Source organism: Homo sapiens, chromosome 2 (assembly GCF_000001405.40).
Source record: "Homo sapiens chromosome 2, GRCh38.p14 Primary Assembly".
Taxonomy (NCBI): domain Eukaryota; kingdom Metazoa; phylum Chordata; class Mammalia; order Primates; family Hominidae; genus Homo; species Homo sapiens.
Window position 1 is genome coordinate 11,500,415 of NC_000002.12, and position 18,745 is coordinate 11,519,159.

An 18,745-nucleotide genomic window follows, 5' to 3' on the forward strand; every position below is an offset into this window, starting at 1 on the left:
TCCCAAAGTGCTGGGATTACCGGCGTAAGCCACTGTGCCTGGCCATTTTTTTTTTTTTTTTTGATTTTTAATAGAGACAGGGTTTCACCATGTTGGCTAGGCTGGTCTCGAACTCCTGACCTCAAGTGATCCACTCGCCTTGGCATCCCAGCTGGGATTACATGCATGAGCCATTGGGCTGGCCCCAATTAGTAAAGTATTCTTATTGCAGCAACAAAAATGTTGCAAATAAAATTACCTACTTGATTTACAGGAAAGGCTTAAATGTATCCTTCAAGTAACGGACTGTTACTTACTAGGGAAGATGGTTTCAGCAGTTGGGAAAGCGGAACCACAGAGCTTTACTCAGTTTTCATAAGCAAATAATGGGGACTTTACATATTGACAGCAGGGAATGGTAAGATTCCCAACCAACTGCGGCATTTCTGTGAGAGCAAGTCAGAGTAAGAGGAATGGCAGAAGAAACGAAACAGAAAGTGGAGAGAGTGACAGGCAAACTGCAGTTGGGTTAAATGAGATATGAGAAAGGTTAGCAGTTCAGGAGACACCATTTCACTCCCCAGTTCAAGCTATGATGTGACTTTAATGTGGTACAGAGCCAGGGTCCCTTCTCAGGGTCTTACATGAGGTAGTGACAAGCTCTGTCTTTCCTCCACTGCCCAGTCCCTTGAGGGTAGGAATCAGGGATCCATCATCTGGGCACCCATGGGACCTGAACTGAGTACTGCAGCTTCGGCCAGTGAACACATTCAGTTTTTTTTCCTGGAGGGACACTCTTTAATCAGCTGTGTTCCCTACTGACTTTGCATTTATCAATGTCATGTCATAGGTATTTTGAGTACATCGAAGCAGTGGTGGTGGGGAGCTGAGAGGCAGAAGGGTGGGCCTGAGAGGGCAGGTGGGATTCTTGATCCTGAAATGTTTTAGACACATTTGCTGCAGATCTCCGAGTTACCATGACCCAGCTCATTAAAGACAGAAGGTGCTGCGTTTTTTTGAGATGGAATCTCTCTCTGTTGCCCTGGCTGGAGTGCAGTGGTGCGATCTTGGCTCACTGTAACCTCTGCCTCCCAGGTTCAAGCGATTGTCCTGCCTCAGCCTCCCAAATAGCTGGGACTACAGGCACGTGCCACCATGCCCGGCTAATTTTTGTATTTTTAGTAGAGACGGCGTTTCACTTTGTTGGCCAGGCTGGTCTCGAACTCCTGACCTCAGGTGATACACCTGCCTTGGCCTCCTAAACTGCTGGTATTACAGACATGAGCCACTGCACCTGGCCAAGGTGCTGTTTTTATATGCTGTTTTGTATCTTTTAGGAAGATAATTTCAAGATGTGTCCAACCTCAAACACATGTGAAGTGCCTACTTCCTGCAAAGTCCTTGCTATGTTTTGTTAATTTTCAAGTATCGTACTCAGAGTTCCCTTTTTATTTATGTTTGTGCGGAACTGATTTCTTACTTATTAGAGCCTGGATTTCCTGTTTTTTTTTGTTTTTTTTTTTTTTTTTTTTTTTTTTTTGAGATGGAGTTTTGCTCTTGTTGCCCAGGCTGGAGTGCAATGGTGCGATCTCGGCTCACTGCAACCTCCACCTCCCGGGTTCAAGCGGTTCTCCTGCCTCAGCCTCCTGAGTAGCTGGGATTACAGGCATGCACCACCACACCTGGCTAATTTTTGTATTATTAGTAGAGACGGCGTTTCACCATGTTGGCCAGGCTGGTCTCGAACTCTTGACCTCAGGTGATCCTCCTGCCTGGGCCTCCCAAAGTTCTGGGATCGCAGGCATGAACCACCACGCCTGGCCCTCTTTTTTTTTTTTTTTTCCTGAGACAGGGTCTCAGTCTGTTGCCTAGGCTGGAGTGCAGTGGTATGGTAACAGCTCACTGCAGCCTCGACTTCCCTGGCTCAAGCAATCCTCTCACCTCTGCCTCCTCAGGAGTTGTTACTACAGGCATGCACCACCAGACCTGGCTAATTTTTTTTTTTTTTTGTAGAAATAGGGTCTCGCCATGTTGCCCAGGCTGGTCTTGAACTCCTGGGCTTAAGGGATCTGCCTGCTTTGGCCTCCCAAAGTGCTGGGATTCCAGGCATGAGCCACTGTGTCTGGCCGGATTTCTTCTTCAGTTTACAGAACTAGTGCAATTTGGGGTTTTCCTCAGTTCATATATTTGCTCCTTTAGTAGTTTATCTTTATTTGGATAAACTACTAAAGGAGCAAATAACTACAAGACAGTTTAACTTGCAAGGAGGAAGATAAACTTTTATCTTTATTATCTATTTATATACAAATATGATGAAAATATTTATTGACCTCAGATATTGTACCAAGTACTTTATATGTGCCTACATCTATTTTATATGTTATCTGGAGCACTTCATATAGTGATGTCACAGGTGGAAGGATTACATCATTTAACTGTGTTAACAAGTCCAGGAGGTGAGTTTTGTTGCTGTCTCATGGTTGAGGAATGGGAGCTTAGAAAGCCTCAGTGACAAGGCCACACAGACAGGAAGGGGTGGAATTGAGATTCATACGAAGTCCATCCGACCTCCAGGCTGTGTTGTTGCTATGGGGCTTCATGGCTCATGTTGGAAAGGAGAAAGGGAGGCTGCTGCAGAGGTGCCTGGTAAAAGTGACTTTCAGAGGGCAAGGAGACCAATGTTCTAGTTGTGTGGGGCTAGCAGAAATCACTCTCATCTTATTTCCCCACCTGGCTTGGCTGTTGTACATGGCCCCAGACAGTAAAAAGAAAGAAACGTTCCTGATGAGGGGAAGTCCCCTTTTCTCCTCCCTCATCCCAGAGGGACAATTCTCATGAGTGTGGCATGGCTTGTTTCTGCCCAGATTTTCACACGTTTATTACATAAATCTGTATCTATTGCTTCGAGTGCTTACATTTTTTGGGTTGTAAATGGCATTGTTCATATTCACATTATTGATGTAGTTCATTTTAGCTAATCTTTGGTATTTGGTAGTGTGAATATATATCACTGTTTTCTCTTTCTCCCTCTAATGGTAGACATTTTCATTGTTTCCTTTTTTATAATATTATGACAAATGTTGCTCTGATCATCCTTTTGTATCTCTTCGTGTCTCAGTAGGGGAGTTTCTAGGAGCGGAATTGCTAGGTTACGTGGTATGTGCACTTCCACTTTGTGTAGGCACTGCCAAATTGCTCGCTAGCGTGGCCAGACTAATTTACATGTCCAGTGGTGGCAGATGAGTGCTTCTTTCCTCACATTTTTGCCAACACCAAATATTGTTGGGCTTCTTAATTTTGGCCACTTTCCGAGTGTGGAATGATGATTCGAGCTTTGATTGCTGATGAGATTGCTCACGTCTGGTTATCTTAGGGTTAGCAGAGCAAGATAACCTTCCTGTTTATTGCATATTACATATTCTGACTTTAACAGGTTTTCCACAATATTCAGCATTCCAGTAATTCCCCCTTGTCCATGGGATATATGTTCCAAGATTCCTAGTGGGTGCCTGAAACCATGGCTAGTACTGGACTATATATATATTGTGTTTCTTCGTATACATACACACCTATGATAAAGTTTAAGTTATAAATTAGGCTCAGTAAAGTATTAATAATAATAACTAATAATAAAATAGAACAATTATAGCAATATACTGTAATAAAAGTTAAGTGAATGTGGTTTCTCTCCTTCTGTCTCTTACTGTACTGTACTCACCCTTCTTCTTGTGATCTGCTGATATGAGAACTGAGATGGGTCATAAGTGACTAGTGGTCATGGGTGGGTGGTGTCCACACTGTGGACACTCTGGACAAAGGAGATTTACGTCCTGGATGGGATGGAGTGAGAAGGTGGGAGATTTCATCATGCTGCTAAGAATGGCATGCAATTTAAAATGTATGACTTATTTTTGGAATTTTTCATTTAGTAGTTTCAGACCTTGGAAAACTGAAACCATGAAAAGTGAAACTGTGGATGAGGGTCTTCAAAGCGATTTTTTAATAGAGATATAATTCACATAACAGAAAACTCACTATGTTGAAGCGATTTTTAGTAGATTTACAAAGTTATGCCACCACCTCCATGAATTCCAAAATATTTCCACTACCCAAAAAGAAATCCTGCATCTATGAGCGAGTAGTCTCCATTCCTTCCTTGCTTGGAAACCACGAATCTACTTTCTGTCTCTATGGATTTTGCTTATTTTGGACATTTTGCATATTTGTGTGTGGGTTCTTTCACCTAGTGTAATGTTTTCAAGTTTCATCCATGTTGTAGCATGTAATAGCACTTTATTCCTTTTACTGGCTGAATAACATTCCATTGTATGGATAGATCACATTTTGTTTATCCAAACATTGCTTGATTGCTTATTTCTACTTGTTGGCCATTATGAATAATTCGACATTACTTTTTGTTTTCATTCCTACACTATTCATTGAGCCCTTTCTTGTGCCAGACACAGCACTTTGGGCCACCTTATTGGCTCTGAGTAACAACTGCCTTGCAAGATAGGTGTGATCACATTCTTTTCATTTAATTTAATTTTATTTTTTGAGATAGAGTCTTGCTCTGTTGCCAGGCTGGAGTGCAGTGACGCCATCTCAGCTCACTGCATCCTCCATCTCCCAGGTTCAAGTGATTCTCTTGCCTCAGCCTCCTAAGTAGTTGGGACTACAGGAGCATGCAACCATGCCCAGCTAATTTTTGCATTTTTAGTAGAGACGGGGTTTCACCATGTTGGCCAGGCTGGTCTTGAACTCCTAACCTCAAGTGATCCACCTGCCTCGGCCTCCCAAAGTGCTGGGATTAAGGCATGAGCCACCGTGCCTGGCAGGTGTCATCACATTCTACCGAGATGGGGACTGCGGCGAGGGGAGTGTAAGTCAGTTTCCCAGCCTGCACTTGATCATGCTTCTCCTTTGCTTAAAATGTCTCCTAATGGCTCTGCATGCTCTTGGGGTGGAGAGCACATTCTGTCATGGTGCCTGCCAGCTCCTTCCTGTCTCTCCAGCCACTGGTCCTCTGGACAGAGCTAGAGTCTTTCACACAAGCAGTTCTCTCCAGCTCTTCTATACTTCCCTGAGAGTTTGTCCCACATCCTCAGGGATGTGAGGAATTCAATAATAATAAATCATTAAATTATAAAAACAATGAAAGTGTTCAGGCTGGGTACAGTGGCTAACGCCTGTAACCCCATGCTTTGGGAGGCCAAGGCAGGAGGATCACCTGAGGTCAGGAGTTTGAGACCAGCCTGGCCAACATAGGGATACCTGGTCTTTACAAAAAATAAAAACAAAAAATTAGCCGGGCGTGGTGATGGGTACTTGTAGTACCAACTACTGGGGAGGCTGAGATGGGAGGATTGCTTGAGCCCAGGAGAACGAGGGTGCAGTGAGCTGTGATCACACCACTGCACTCCAGCCTGGGAAACAGAGCAAGACCCTGTTTTGGGAAAAAAAAAAGTGTTCAAACTAACTTGTAAACGGACTTTGGAAGTAAAGCAGTAGTAAGGCATGCTGTAAATAAATATTAAATCAGGAAAAAGGATAATGTTTAACATCGGCGAACTCTCAGTTGTGATGCAGGGTGCAGAGAGGCAGAGCAATTTACTAATGGTTCTACAGTGAAGGAGCGACAGGGCTGGGTATCAAAGCCTGTTGCGTTTGTTTATTGCTACAACAAATATTTATTGAGCACCTGCAGTATGTCAGGCACCAAGAACAGACCTGTGAGCCCAGTGCACATGGTCCCCGTGCTCACGGGCCTAACATTCTCTGTGGTCTGGGAGTAATGTTTCTAGTCACAGCAAATCATCTCATGTGTTCTTGGTTGAGTATAGATGCTGGAATTTCCTGTCCTTGAGAAGCGTGGTTTGGTAATGTGCCAACAGGTAGTTACCATGCAGCTGAGCCAGGGTCAAATGGTTTATCTGGGGACTGGGCTTGTGGCCATAGCCTGAGGGGAACCAGTGACACCTTTTCTTCAGGGAGGCCAATGGTAAGAGCACCTGAGGCCCAGGAATCAGAGCTTCTCTCCCCATGATCTCCTTGGCAGGCCTTAGCATACCCAGACCAGTGGGCATTTTGTTCATTAGGTGATGAGAAACCTAGGTGGCCAGGGGAAAAGAGTGGAGATTTAGTTGGTGTATTTATTATTTTCTATTAGACCATCTGCCTTTGGAGTTGGTTAGGAATTAGAGGTGGATTTCCCCAAATTAGTTAGAAATGATCATACAGTCCCGTCTTCCCTTCCTTCATGTCTTGAAAGTTCATTATGCTAAAATGTGATGTGTGCTAGGGATGAGATCATGGAAGCTTGGGGAGGCTTGGGAACTGGCAGAATGACCAGAGTTGGAGCAGCAGAGCAGCGTGGAACCCTGAGCTCTGGACTCTCCATCCTGGGGAGGAGCCAACTTCCAGTCCCTGATACTGCACACACACTGCAGTGTGCAGTGGCAGACTGCACTGTACTGTGGATATCACACTTTGTTTTTCAGAACTTTCAGGATCAAGGTTCCACCCACGTTAAATACAACATGTGTTACATCCCTTTATATTTTGTGTGAAGCAATCAAAGAATATTGCTGATTTTGATATAGAATTACAAGATAATCAATAACTTATTATACAAAGAAATTAAAACAGAAATAATCCTTCTCTATATACCAGTTTTCTTGGTAGATGATATCACAAGCATTGGTATTTTTTCATGATTAATTATAGTAATAACAACAGTAACAGGTGGCTCACGCCTGTAATCCCAGCACTCTGGGAGGCCAAGGCAGGCGGATCACCTGAGGTCAGGAGTTTCAGACCAGCCTGGCCAACGTGGCGAAACCCCATCTCTACTAAAAATACAAAACTGAGCCAGGCGTGGTGGCAGGTGCCTATAATCCCAGCTACTCGGGAGGCTGAGGCAGGAGAATTGCTTGAACCCGGGAGGCAGAGGTTATAGTGAGTGGAGATTGCGCCACTGCACTCCAGCCTGGGCAACAGAGCAAGACTCCAAAAAAAAAAAAAAACCATAAACCGAAAAACAATAATGGCAACATAATAATAATAGCATCAAAAGTGGCCCTGTAGTGACTGCCTACTCTGATGCAGGCACTAGATCAGGTAATTTATATTTGGTATCAAGAAACCAAGAGTGAACATGCAAACTGTATTCTGTGTTTTATTAGTTCAGAGACCTTGCCCAGCCCTTGCAGTTCTATCAAATGGGTATTATTTTGACTAACAAGGGAGTCTCCTGGCATGGAGTTGCTGCCTGTCCAGGCGCCAGCCTCCTGCTTCTCAGAGTCCTTCCTGCCCTTGGAGGCTCTGGGTGGAGCTGGTTGCCTGGTGCCCCCAACAGCTGTGTTCATACTGAGTCTGTCCCTCTCTGGTCCCGACTCTACCATGGAGTCCTGAGACCACAGGACTCAGGGAAGCTGTTGCTGCTGTCACCACATAGGCCTTGGAGTGGGTGAGAAGAAAGCTGCCTTTTCCTGAGTTATTTTAACTGAGGATTCTGGACCTTTCTTTAATTCTCTCCATTAACTCATCTAAACAGAGGCTGCATTGTTTACAGTAATATATTGAGGAAATTATCCCAGGAGGGAATTATATGCCAAAAAACATAAAGCCATGTACTAGATATATTGTTTTCAGAGACTTCTAGACAGCTTCTAGTCCATTTCGCCTATGGTAGAGGTTTGCTTTCTTCTTCTTCTGAGAGAAGGAGAAACAGAAAGACAGACAGATAGACACTGAGCTCTTCCAGGCCCTTCAGCCTCTCCCCACTGTGGCCCCAGTCCCATGCCACAGGCCTGCACCCTGGTCCAATTTCTATCCCTAGATCTTCCTTCTCCAGGGGCTCATGGCAGTTGGAATTTCTATTTCCTCCAGGAAAACCCTCCACATTTTACATCCAGGGATTGGCCTCACCCTGCAGCCACCCTCACCATCCTCTGCATCGGGACACATGAGGCTGGCGTTGGAATATTTCCCAGATCCTTCATTTTCCAACAAAGAACAGCGCCCTGCGTGGGTCTTCAGCAGAACGGGCTTTGCACACGCTTTGGCAGCCTCAGGCTGGGCTCCTTTCTGGCTTTCCCCCAGTGTGGCAAAGGTTTGTTTTGCATCCTTCCTGACATCTTTGCCTGGCCACTCCCCTTTTACGTGGCTTGCTGCTTGAACAAGAACGTACATAATCCTCCCAAGAACAAACAGTCATTTTCCAGGACAGTGTAGTCTACACTTGTATTTAGAATGAAACAAAATAAAACAAACATCCTTTTAAAGCCAACATAAACTTTAGAGATTTGGCTTGCACCGTGTTGAAGATTTCTCTTTCTAGATCCACAGCATTTCAAATCATTGTTTGCCAGAATCTCCACCATTATTGCCATTGCCTACCCAAAACGTTCACCGTGGTTGTCTTCCGAAACATGAAGACATCTGAGGCCTAAAGGTGAATCCAAATTTTTCTTTCTCTCTTTTTTTTTTTTTTTTTTCGGGACAGAGTCTCGCTCTGTCGCCCAGGCTGGAGTGCAGTGGCGCGATCTCGGCTCACTGCAAGCTCCGCCTCCCGGGTTCACGCCATTCTCCTGCCTCAGCCTCCCGAGTAGCTGGGACTACAGGCGCCCGCCACCACGCCCGGCTAATTTTTTTGTATTTTTAGTAGAGACGGGGTTTCACCGTGTTAGCCAGGATGGTCTCGATCTCCTGACCTCGTGATCCACCTGCCTTGGCCTCCAAAGTGCTGGGATTACAGGTATGAGCCACCGCGCCCGGCCCCAGATTTTTCTTTCTGTAAGAATTCCCCCTAAGTCCAAAGTGTGCAGGACCATATTCACTTTTTTCTCCTTTTTAAGGCTTTTATCATGGAAAAATTTAAACATACACAAAAGAAAAAGGAATATTTTTATGAGCCCCCATATATATATTTCCCAGATTTAAAAAAATTAGCAACATGTGGGCGATTTTGTTTTATTACACTCTGCACACATTTTTTCTTTGTTAGCTTATTTGAAGCAAATCCCAGGTATATCCTTTCATCCAAAAATGCTTTTATGTGTATCTCTAAAGGTGTTCTCTTTAAAAAAAAAAGTTACCACAATACCGTTATCACACCTAAAAAACATTAACGGTAATTCCTTATTATACCAATTATCCAGTTAATGTTTGCTACGGTTTGAATGTTGGTGTCCTCCTAAAATTTATATGTTGGAGCCTAATCCCCAATGTGATAGTATTCAGAGGTGGGCCTTTAGGAGGGGGTTAGATCATGAAGGCTCTGCCTTCATGAATGGGATTGGCACCCTTAGAAAAGAGGTTCTGAGGGAGCCTGTTTGCCCCTTCCACCATGTGAGGATGCAGTGAGAAGGCCCCATCTTTGAAGCAGAGACGGAGCCCTCACCAGACACTGAGTCTGCTGGTGCCATACCCTTGAACTTCCCAGCCTCCAGAACGTGAGAAATGAATTTCTGTTGTTTATAAATTAGCTGATCTAAGATATTTTGTAAGAGCAGCTCCAATGGGCTAAGACAATTCAATTTCCCCTTATTTCATTAGCATGTTTTTGCAGTTGGTCTGTTTGCTAGAATCAGGATCCAATAAAAAGTCCATGCATTTTGCTTTTTATTGATATGTCTGTTGGGTTTCTTTTGGTTTATAACAGTTTTTTTCTTGCCATTTATTTGTTGAAAACATCCAGTCGCTGTTCCCTTGGAATTCCCTACTTACTGGACTTGGCTGATTGCATCACTGGGCTGTTGTTTAATGTGTATCTTTGTCCCTGTATATTCAGTAAATTAGTAATTTGATATAGGGACTGGATCAGATTCAGATTTAATGTCTGGTGAGAAGATGCCAGAGTGATGGTATGTACCTTATATTGCACCAATGGCAGAATGCAATCTGCTTTTCTCCCTGTGTAATGTTAGTAGTTTCAATAACTATCAGCCTGATCTATCCATCTTAAAATTCCCCCTTCAATCTTTCATCATTGGATTTAGCCACAATTGCCAGTCACTGCTAAGATCCATGATTTCATTAGGGGTTGTAAAATGATGACACCCTAATTTATAATTCCTTCTTCATATATTTGCTGGAATTCTTTTATAAAGACATTTTCCTAATCAACGATTTGGTTACTTGAAAATACAGCTCACACAGGAAAGGTGGGAGGAAGGCTTGGTTCTTTTCCTTTATCCACCAGTTTTCAGGATAATGAGTTCATTTCCTCGCATCCTCCAAAGCTGACCCAGTGTTAGTTTCTTTTTCTTTTTTCAGTATTATGAACATATGGATTTTTTTTTTTTTTTTTTGAGACGGAGTCTTACTCTTGTCACCCAGGCTGGAATGCAGTGGTGCTACTGTGGCTCACTGCAACCTCCGCCTCCTGGGTTCAAGCAGTCCGAGTAGCTGGGATCACAGGTGCCTGTCATCACACCCGGCTATTTTTTGTATTTTTGGTAGAGACAGGGTTTCGCCATGTTGGGCAGGCTGGTCTCGAACTCCTGACCTCAGGTGATCTGCCTATCTCTGCCTCCCAGAGTGCTGGGATTACAGGCATGAGCCACCATGCCTGGCCAATTATGAACGTATGGATTTTTAAAAACACAGTCAGTGTGCCTGATCTGGCAAAGTAATTATTTGTTTTGGTGCTCAAATTGCCCAGCTTTGGCCAGCGCAAACTCTTCACATTGGCTTCTGCAGGGCCAATGGTGAGGGCAGGCATGGGGCGTCAGGCTCACTTCCTCCCAGCAGTCTTCACAAGAACGAAGCTTTTTCCTGGTGAACGGCCATGGGTAGCCAGGCTTGGATGAAAAGATCACTCTGTCCATCATCCAGTAAAGCATTTTTCTAGGGGTCATAGTTTTTCGGGTGCTACACAATCATCCCCATTTTATGGCTGGAGAGCTGGGGCCCAGAGAAGTTACATTTTTCCCCAGATTGCGTAGCCAGGAAAGGCAGAACTAGGAAGACAATTTTTGGCTCCACATCTCTGAGAGTGAATGGGGAGTAAGAATAGAGCAGGGGATGGCATTCTAGGTGGGGTAAACTTTGGGCCAAGGCATGGAGACAAGATGGGAGTGTGAGTTCAGGGAAAGACTGGCTGGAACCAAAGCATATTAGGGGTGGGTGGAGAAGGTAACAGGAACTCCATTTTGGAGAACTTGGATGTCTCCAGATGAGGAAGCAGCGTGCCCTCTGAAGGTGACCCGGTGAGAGGAGGGCGTCTGCGCAGGAGAGCAGCATTCATGTCTCACTGCTCCTCATCCTCATCCAGGAACTCGCCTGCTGCTGAGACCCTGAGCTTAGGGGAATGGGGTTCCTCTGTACTGCACAGTGGGCTTTCATATAGCCCAAAGCAAACACTCAGCCTGTTTGCCCTGTATTTTAGACACCTAGTCTCACTGTGAACTGGGGAGAACAGGGGTCCTGCCTCTAGAGCTGATGTGGGGATTAAGTGAGATGACACACCTCGGATGCCTGGCCCAGCGCTGGTCCGTGGAGGAGACCTTGGTGGGTGTGACTGTTATTACCACCCACCGCCCCTTTCCTCTGACTGTTACTTTGCTGTCTGTGTTCCTGAAAAAAAATCTCGGTCCAGTCTCATTGCTTTCTGTTACTCAGCGATTTCTAGCCTGTAGCGAGTGGAATTCCCAAGGCACTGGCAATGGAGTTATATTCAGAAACAGTGCTGGAAATACATTAAAACAATTGACATGAAATTCACACAACATAAAATTAACCATTTTAAAGTGAACAATTTAGTGGTGTTTAGTACATTGACAATGTTGTGCCACCATCACCTCTAGCAACGCTGTCTTCAAATTCTTTTATTTTCATTTTAAAAAGTTGACCACTAGCTCCTGGGGAGGAATTTGTGTCTTGGGAATCATCATTTAATTTAGTAAAACCTGAAGAGAGAAATTATAATTCTTATGAGGCTGAAGTAGAAAATTTTTTTAAAAAGCAGCTAAGTGCTTTCCTATTAAGTAAAAATTCACTTAACAAATATTTATTGAGTGCTTACTATGTGCTATGCCCTGTGTATTTAGTAATGAATGCAACGGGTGTGATTCCTGCAAGGATTTTCCTGGCAACATTGAAGCAAGGGGAAACGTGTGTATTTCCTAAAGCTTTAGAAAAAAATGACTTGTGTGTGTTTAGACCAAGGATTGTTGAAGATTACTCTGTTTTGGTGGAAGGTGCGGTGAGCTTGGCGTGGGTCCCTGGGTTGGGCTGTGTGCTCCACACCCCACCAGCTAGTACAGGAGCTCTTTGCTCAAATCAACCACCAAGCCTCACTTTCCCTGTGTGACAAAGAGGATAAGACCTCTTGTCTCACACGGCTGTTGGAAGGCTCACTGTGCCCAACACATGGCATGTGCTCAGTGACCCTTGTGGGATCTGAAGAATCCTAAGAAAAGAATGAGACTTAGGAGACTTTTTACGCAGCTTAAGTAATTTTATGTTTTACTTAGGCGGATATGGCTTAAGACTTATAGACAAAGATAATCAGGTCAAAATGACCTTCTTTCAGTTGTTGGGGCAGTGAGGGTGGAGGAACCGGTGGGCTGGAAAGAAAGAGTTATGGATTCTTTCAACACACTGTCCGTCCGCCTGGGAATGGAGATTTTGATAAAGATGAAACTTCTCTGTTCTGGAGCTGAAGCGCAAAGCTTAAAAAAATGGACTTAATTGGGTCTGATTGTTTTCCTATTTGTATTCATAACGAAGACTATGTAAGCAGGTCTGCTACGGTTCTAGAATGCCCCGAGGATGAATCAAATCTGTCTATCCTCTTTATTTTCCCACATAAGGACATTTTTCAGCTGTCCTGGAAGTCTGTTAGGGACTCGCAGCTCATATCCCTGACAGAGGCGGGTGGGCGTCTCTCCCTTGTCCTTGTGTGGGAACAGTAAGGATGTGTATGTCACCCTCATGGATTTCAATCCCAGAATCAAAGGATGGGCATCTCAGGGAAGGAAGTTCGAAGCAGCTCAGGGTCACGGTAATTAATTTATCCGGGAGCAACACTCAAGATCTTTGCCACAAATTAGATTCTCTTAGTCTAGCCCAGTATGGGGTTTATAGGGAAGCTCTTAGTCATCCTTCAAGGCCTACTTCTTTCAGGAAGCCTTCCCTGATCTCCTTAGCTGGTAGAATTTTCTCCCTTTTCTGAAACTCTATAGTCCTGGCTTGGAGATTTATTTTGACTTGCCAGAAACTTAAATTAGCAGCAACACGCAATTTCCTGATCATTCTAGTTAATTGATGGTTTTCGGTCTTGCTTTAAAAAAAAAAAGAACTGTGGCTTCCTTGTAATAACTCACATTTATTTAGTCCCCAGGGTGTATGAAGTGCTCTTCCAGGCCTGGTCCTTCTTGGTACCGATATTGCCATATTGGCTGGACATCCTGGCTTGGTAGGATGCACTCACATGGGCTGTAGTAATACTGGTATCACCAGCATAACTTGTGGTTCTTCAGCCAGTAATTTCTGAGTAATAATCTGTGGCAGGTACTGAGCTAGGCTTCCGGGTTGTAGAGCTGCCTAAGTCCTGGCCGCTGCCCTTAGGAGCTCACATCCTAAGAGGGGAGGATGAAGATTAATCTCCTACTCACTGCAACAGAATAGGAGCTGGATCAGTGCAGAGAGGATGGGGATGGGTGGAGAAGGAATATTTTTGACTGGGAGACTGGACCAGATGGGATAGAGTTGAATCTACATGACAAAAGGCAATGGAAAAGAAATGGTGTCTCCAAATCCCAGGAAGCAGGAAATAGGCGATTAACATTGAGAGCCAAATGTGTGTGTGCCAGATATGGTGCTGGCTTATTTACATAGAGTTCTCATTCAGTCTTTTAAACAACACTGCTCTGTACGTATTACCATGTTACCTACGTAAATATGGAAAAAGTGAGAGTCAGAGAAAATCAGTTATGTTCCAAGTTTGCTATTGCATTGTTGAACTTGGGATTCACCAGTTGGAGACTCTGACTCCAGATCCTACACCCTTTTCACTACACCCCTTTGCCAACATCCACTACCATGCCACACCATGTTTCCATGATCAGATGTCAGTGTTGTGTCCTCAGATGTATGTACTATGTAACTGCTGTCTTGGGGAGAAGTTTGACCCTCAGCAATGTTTGTCAAGCCAAAGAGGAGGGGTGTTGATTACAGAGGACTCTTTAGAGGGAAAGAACTGGAATGAACTTTGGAGGTTTCAGTTGGGCCAAAGGAATGCCACTGCAGGTTTGGGAAGGCACATGCTGAACCCAGTGCCAAGAGATCCTTTGCATCTTTTGGGGCTCAGTCTGCACAACCCCTCTGTGCTCAGTCCATTGCTCTCTCCTCTTTGTTATAGCATTTATCATGTATTGGCTTAGGAATATGGCATTTCCCCCTACTAGGTTGTGAGTCCCTCTGAAGTTGAGAGCAGGCATCAGTCATCTCTGTATGCCCAGTGCTTAGTGCTGTGCTTGGCACAGAGTGGGCACTTAAGAGCTATTAGTTGAATCCATCCGTCCACACATGTATCCATCTTCCCATCTCTTCCTCCACTATCCATCCATCCATCCATCCATCCATCCGCGCATGTGTCCATCCTCTCATCTCTTCCCCCACCTGACCATCTATCTATCCATCCATCCATCCATCCACACATGTATCCATCCTCTCATCTCTTCCCCCACCTGCCCATCTATCCATCCTTCCATCCATCCATCCATCCATCCATCCACCCACCCCCCATCCGTCCATCTATCCATCCATCCATCCATCCATCCATCCGTTCATGCACGCACCCACTCACTCATTCAGTCTTTCAGTAGGTGTTCTCTGAACAGTACAACATACCAGGTATTATGGCCAGTGCAGAGGGAACAGAGATTGAATTGGATAGAGATGATGTGCTCAAAGAACAGAGTCTAGGCGTAGTGAGAGGAAAATGTGCTAAGTAGGAAAGAATGAATTAATGAAAATGTCATTAACTGCAAGCCTGAGGCTCTCCAAGAAGAAATTAGGTTGTTATTGTTGTGTTTTTTAAAAGTCTTGAATAATGTAGACGTGAGTGAGGCAACCTCCCACTCTGTCTTTTTCCATTGTGTTTCTGCCCCTCCGAGGTTTTCTCTGGCACCATCTGGCTGCTTCCTCTGCTGGAAGCCCTGTGAGATGTGAGGCTCTCCCTGGGAGCCTGAGGGCGGGGGGAGGGCAGGGGCACTGACCTGGTGGCTTCAAGGTGGTCACAACCCCGTCCCCTCCTGTGTCTCCCAGGAGGAATGCTGCCTAAAAGGGCAGAGCAGATGTTCTCAGGCCAGAGTGATCCTTCATCAGCCCCTCCTCCGGGAACAGGAGGTGACAGCATATTTCTCTGAGAGCAAAGGCTAAAATCCTCTGGCATTCTTCTTAATTCAGTCTAGTAGGGTTTTGTGAAACACTTCAGACTCCTAGGGGTAGAGTAAATTCTTTCACCTACTCCAGGCTTTGTGCTTAGAGGCCCATGTGGAGCTCCTTAGGGAGGCAGATTTAGCCAGGCAAGACAGCACTTCGGGCATGCCGCAGAAACACAACCAGAGAAAAGCTCATTAGAGCTCAGTGGCTTATTTTCAAACTGACTTGGCAAATCCAGAATCTGGGCATTGAAAGTGAAAATGTGTAGATGGCCTCTGTGGCGGGACATGGTGGATGTCACATGAACCATAGGAAGAAGTGCTGTCTGTCTCACACCCGATCTTTAGACTTGGACATCACTCTGCTTGCTGGAGGTCCTCCCAGAGCATCACGTCCAAAATGAACCCAGCTTTTTCTCCTTAGTCCAGTTTCTCCTCAACTCTTTGATGCCATCTACCAAGACTTGGGTATCTTTCACTGCCTCCAAAACCAGGTAATTACCAAGTGCTGTAGATTTTCCTGCAGGTGTGTGTGTGTGTGTGTGTGTGTGTGTGTGTGTGTGCACGCAATCTGTTCTCTTCTATCTTGCCCTGACTGCTCTGGTGCCGTCCTCAGCTGGACTGTCATAACTGACTTCTCCCAGGTCTCCACACAGACCAGATTCCCACCAGTGCATCCTCGAATGTCTTCTACAACATAGTCACATCACCCAGGGGCTTCAAACCCTGCAGTGTTTCCATTTGGCCTCGGGAGCTAATAAGTGACTCTTCTCTTCCCCACCCCAAGTCCCAGCTGTAGTTGACGTAGGAGTCAGGCAGATGGAGACCAGAATCTCACCTTTCTTACTAAGGCTGTGGGCCCATGCGGTTGAGGCGTGAGGGCCAAACGGCCTTACCCAAGCTCCCCGCCCCAATTCCTGACTCCCTGCAGGATAGACCTTGGCGCCGTCCATCTAAGGGAAAGACCTGCACCCAAGTTACCTAGGAAGCTGCCACACGCAAGCAAGAAAGAGAGACAAAGTCTCTGTGCTAACAGGCTCTCACTGGATTCATTCTACCTAGTGGAGGAAGGAGGAGCAGCTTCTGTCTCCTACTGAGACAGACTTTTCTCTTCCGTGGGCAGTGGGGTGGCGAGGGCTGTGAGGCGGGGAGCATTGTTTTGGGGAAGCCCTTCCAGGAGCAGAGCAGGGGATTAGGATCCAGTCCAAGCTCCTTAATATGGGACATGGATGATGTGACCACTGCTTATTATTCCAGTGGCTGTCTTTGCCGCTGTGTCTGGAAGGTTCCCTGGTGTGAGCAGTGGCCCCAGGGTCACTTGGATGAGTGAGATTTTGGGTGTAGGCTGGGGTCATGTCCTGTGGACCCCTCCAAGGCCAGGCTGGCCCTCTTCCCTGCTGCCCCCGGCCTCCCTGCCCTTTGCCTTCCAGCAGCACCATCCTGTGTGCCTTGTCTGAGTCGGTGTTGTGCAGTCGCTGCCTGAAGGTGCTGATCCTGCCTTGTGCCATTCGGCTCCCTCCGCTCCAACCCAGGCACCTGCTCTTTGGACTGCCTTTTGTGACCACCTCCTTCCCAGCTGGCTCAGGTGCTTTTCCTTACAAAGAGAAAGGGATCGATGGCTGGACCGACCTGAATGCGCCTGGTCTCAGAAGCTAAGCAGGGTTGGCTTGGTCAGTACTTGGATGGGAGACCACTGGGGAGACCCGGTGCTGTAGACTTGAAAAAAAAAAGAGGAAGGGGCTTGATCTGAAGGTAGATTGATGTTAGCTGTGGGAACAGGGTCTTGGCTATGAGGTGTGGGAGCCAGAGTGATTTTGTGCTAATGAAATTCTTGTTTGTTACATTTCACAACTAGTAGTGAAGCATTTTTTAAATTTTTTTTTTGAGACAGAGTCTCGCTCTGTCGCCCAGGCTGGAGTGCAGTGGTGCCATCTCGGCTCACTGCAAGCTCCGCCTCCCGGGTTCATGCCATTCTCCTGCCTCAGCCTCCCGAGTAGCTGGGACTACAGGTGCCCGCCGCCATGCCCGGCTAATTTTTTTTGTATTTTTAGTAGAGACGGGGTTTCACCGTGTTAGCCAGGATGGTCTCGATCTCCTGACGTCGTGATCCACCTGCCTTGGCCTCCCAAAGTGCTGGGATTATAACAGTGAAGCATCTTTAACAGCAGTTTAAAGATGCTGGTAACTTCACAATACCCGGAGAGTTTTCCAAGGAGTGAGTTTGTTTTTTGTTTCCCCTTGACTGTGGGCATTTTGCCAGAGAGGGTAATTTAGTGCTATTCCTCAAGAGCAAAGGAATAAAGGATACAATAACTAACAAAATGGAATATGCATGCTAATTTTTAGGCAATAGTTTTCTTTTATGGTCTGCAATGGAGTGGACAACCTGCTGAGAGAACTGAGGCCTCCTTCCAGTTGTTTGACGTCAAGGTCAGGAGGAGCATGGAGATCCATTTGGGTGGAATTTATGACTTTGCAATCATTGAAAGTTGAACACATTAAAAAAATTCGTGTATAGGAGAAAGTAGTCATGCTCATTTAAAGGTATTTTGGGCTGTTTGGGTAAGGTGACTGTGTTTTCCTTTCTTTTCAGTAGGAAAAAGTTGCTATTTTTCTCTCTGGAGCTTGTCATTGTATCTCAGACACTGAGTTTTGAGTTCCAGAAACCTAGAGTCAGGGCATCGAATGAGAATGCAGCTTTATCTGTGCACAGGGCTGCTGCTGCTGCAGTGGGCAGGGGGCGGGTAGGGGGTGGGGGTGTGTGGCATGGGCCTGGTTAATGCAGACAGATCCATCCAGTCCTGGCCTCCAGATGCATTTGCAGCATCTCCTTTAATCAAGGTTCAAACCTGCTAAAATGATTTACATTAGATTCTGATGATATTTTGATGTCAATTTGAATAGAACTTGGGCAAGTTCTTCAGGTCTGTAGAGCAGTAGATAGGGCAGTAAAGTGAAATACAAAAAAAAAAAAAAGAAAAAGCGCATATGCATAAAATATAAGCATGTGTCTTTTTAAATGAAAAAATCCCGCCAGGCGAGGTGGCTCACTTCTGTAATCCCAGCACTTTGGGAGGCCGAGGCGGGTGGATCACGAGGTCAGGAGACTGAGACCATCTTGGCTAACATACAGTGAAACTCTGTCTCTACTAAAAATACAAAAAATTAGTTGGGCGTGGTGGTAGGTGCCTGTAGGCCCAGCTACTTGGGAGGCTGAGGCAGGATGGCGTGAACCCAGGAGGCGGAGCTTGCAGTGAGCCGAGATCGCGCCACTGCACTCCAGCCTGGGTGAAAGAATGAGACTCCGTCTCAGAAAAAAAAAAAAAAAAAGGAAAAATCCCCTCGAAAGTCTTATCTTTTTCCTTGGCAGATGT

The 18,745-nt window shown here is 45.5% G+C and overlaps 1 protein-coding gene and 1 pseudogene across 9 annotated transcripts in view, besides 1 other annotated feature; both read left to right on the forward strand.

The window, feature by feature from the left end:
* The window catches only part of GREB1 (growth regulating estrogen receptor binding 1), a 159,901-nt gene that overhangs the window by 17,527 nt on the left and 123,629 nt on the right, over positions 1-18,745 (forward strand). The window lies entirely within an intron of this gene.
* Positions 394-563: an enhancer, noted in NCBI's record as "active region_15320". NCBI's record gives its function as "activates an Ori minimal core promoter by ATAC-STARR-seq in GM12878 lymphoblastoid cells {active_cell/tissue: GM12878}" and the evidence as "EXISTENCE:reporter gene assay evidence [ECO:0000049][PMID:35858748]".
* RNA5SP84 (RNA, 5S ribosomal pseudogene 84) lies at positions 16,983-17,089 on the forward strand (annotated as a pseudogene).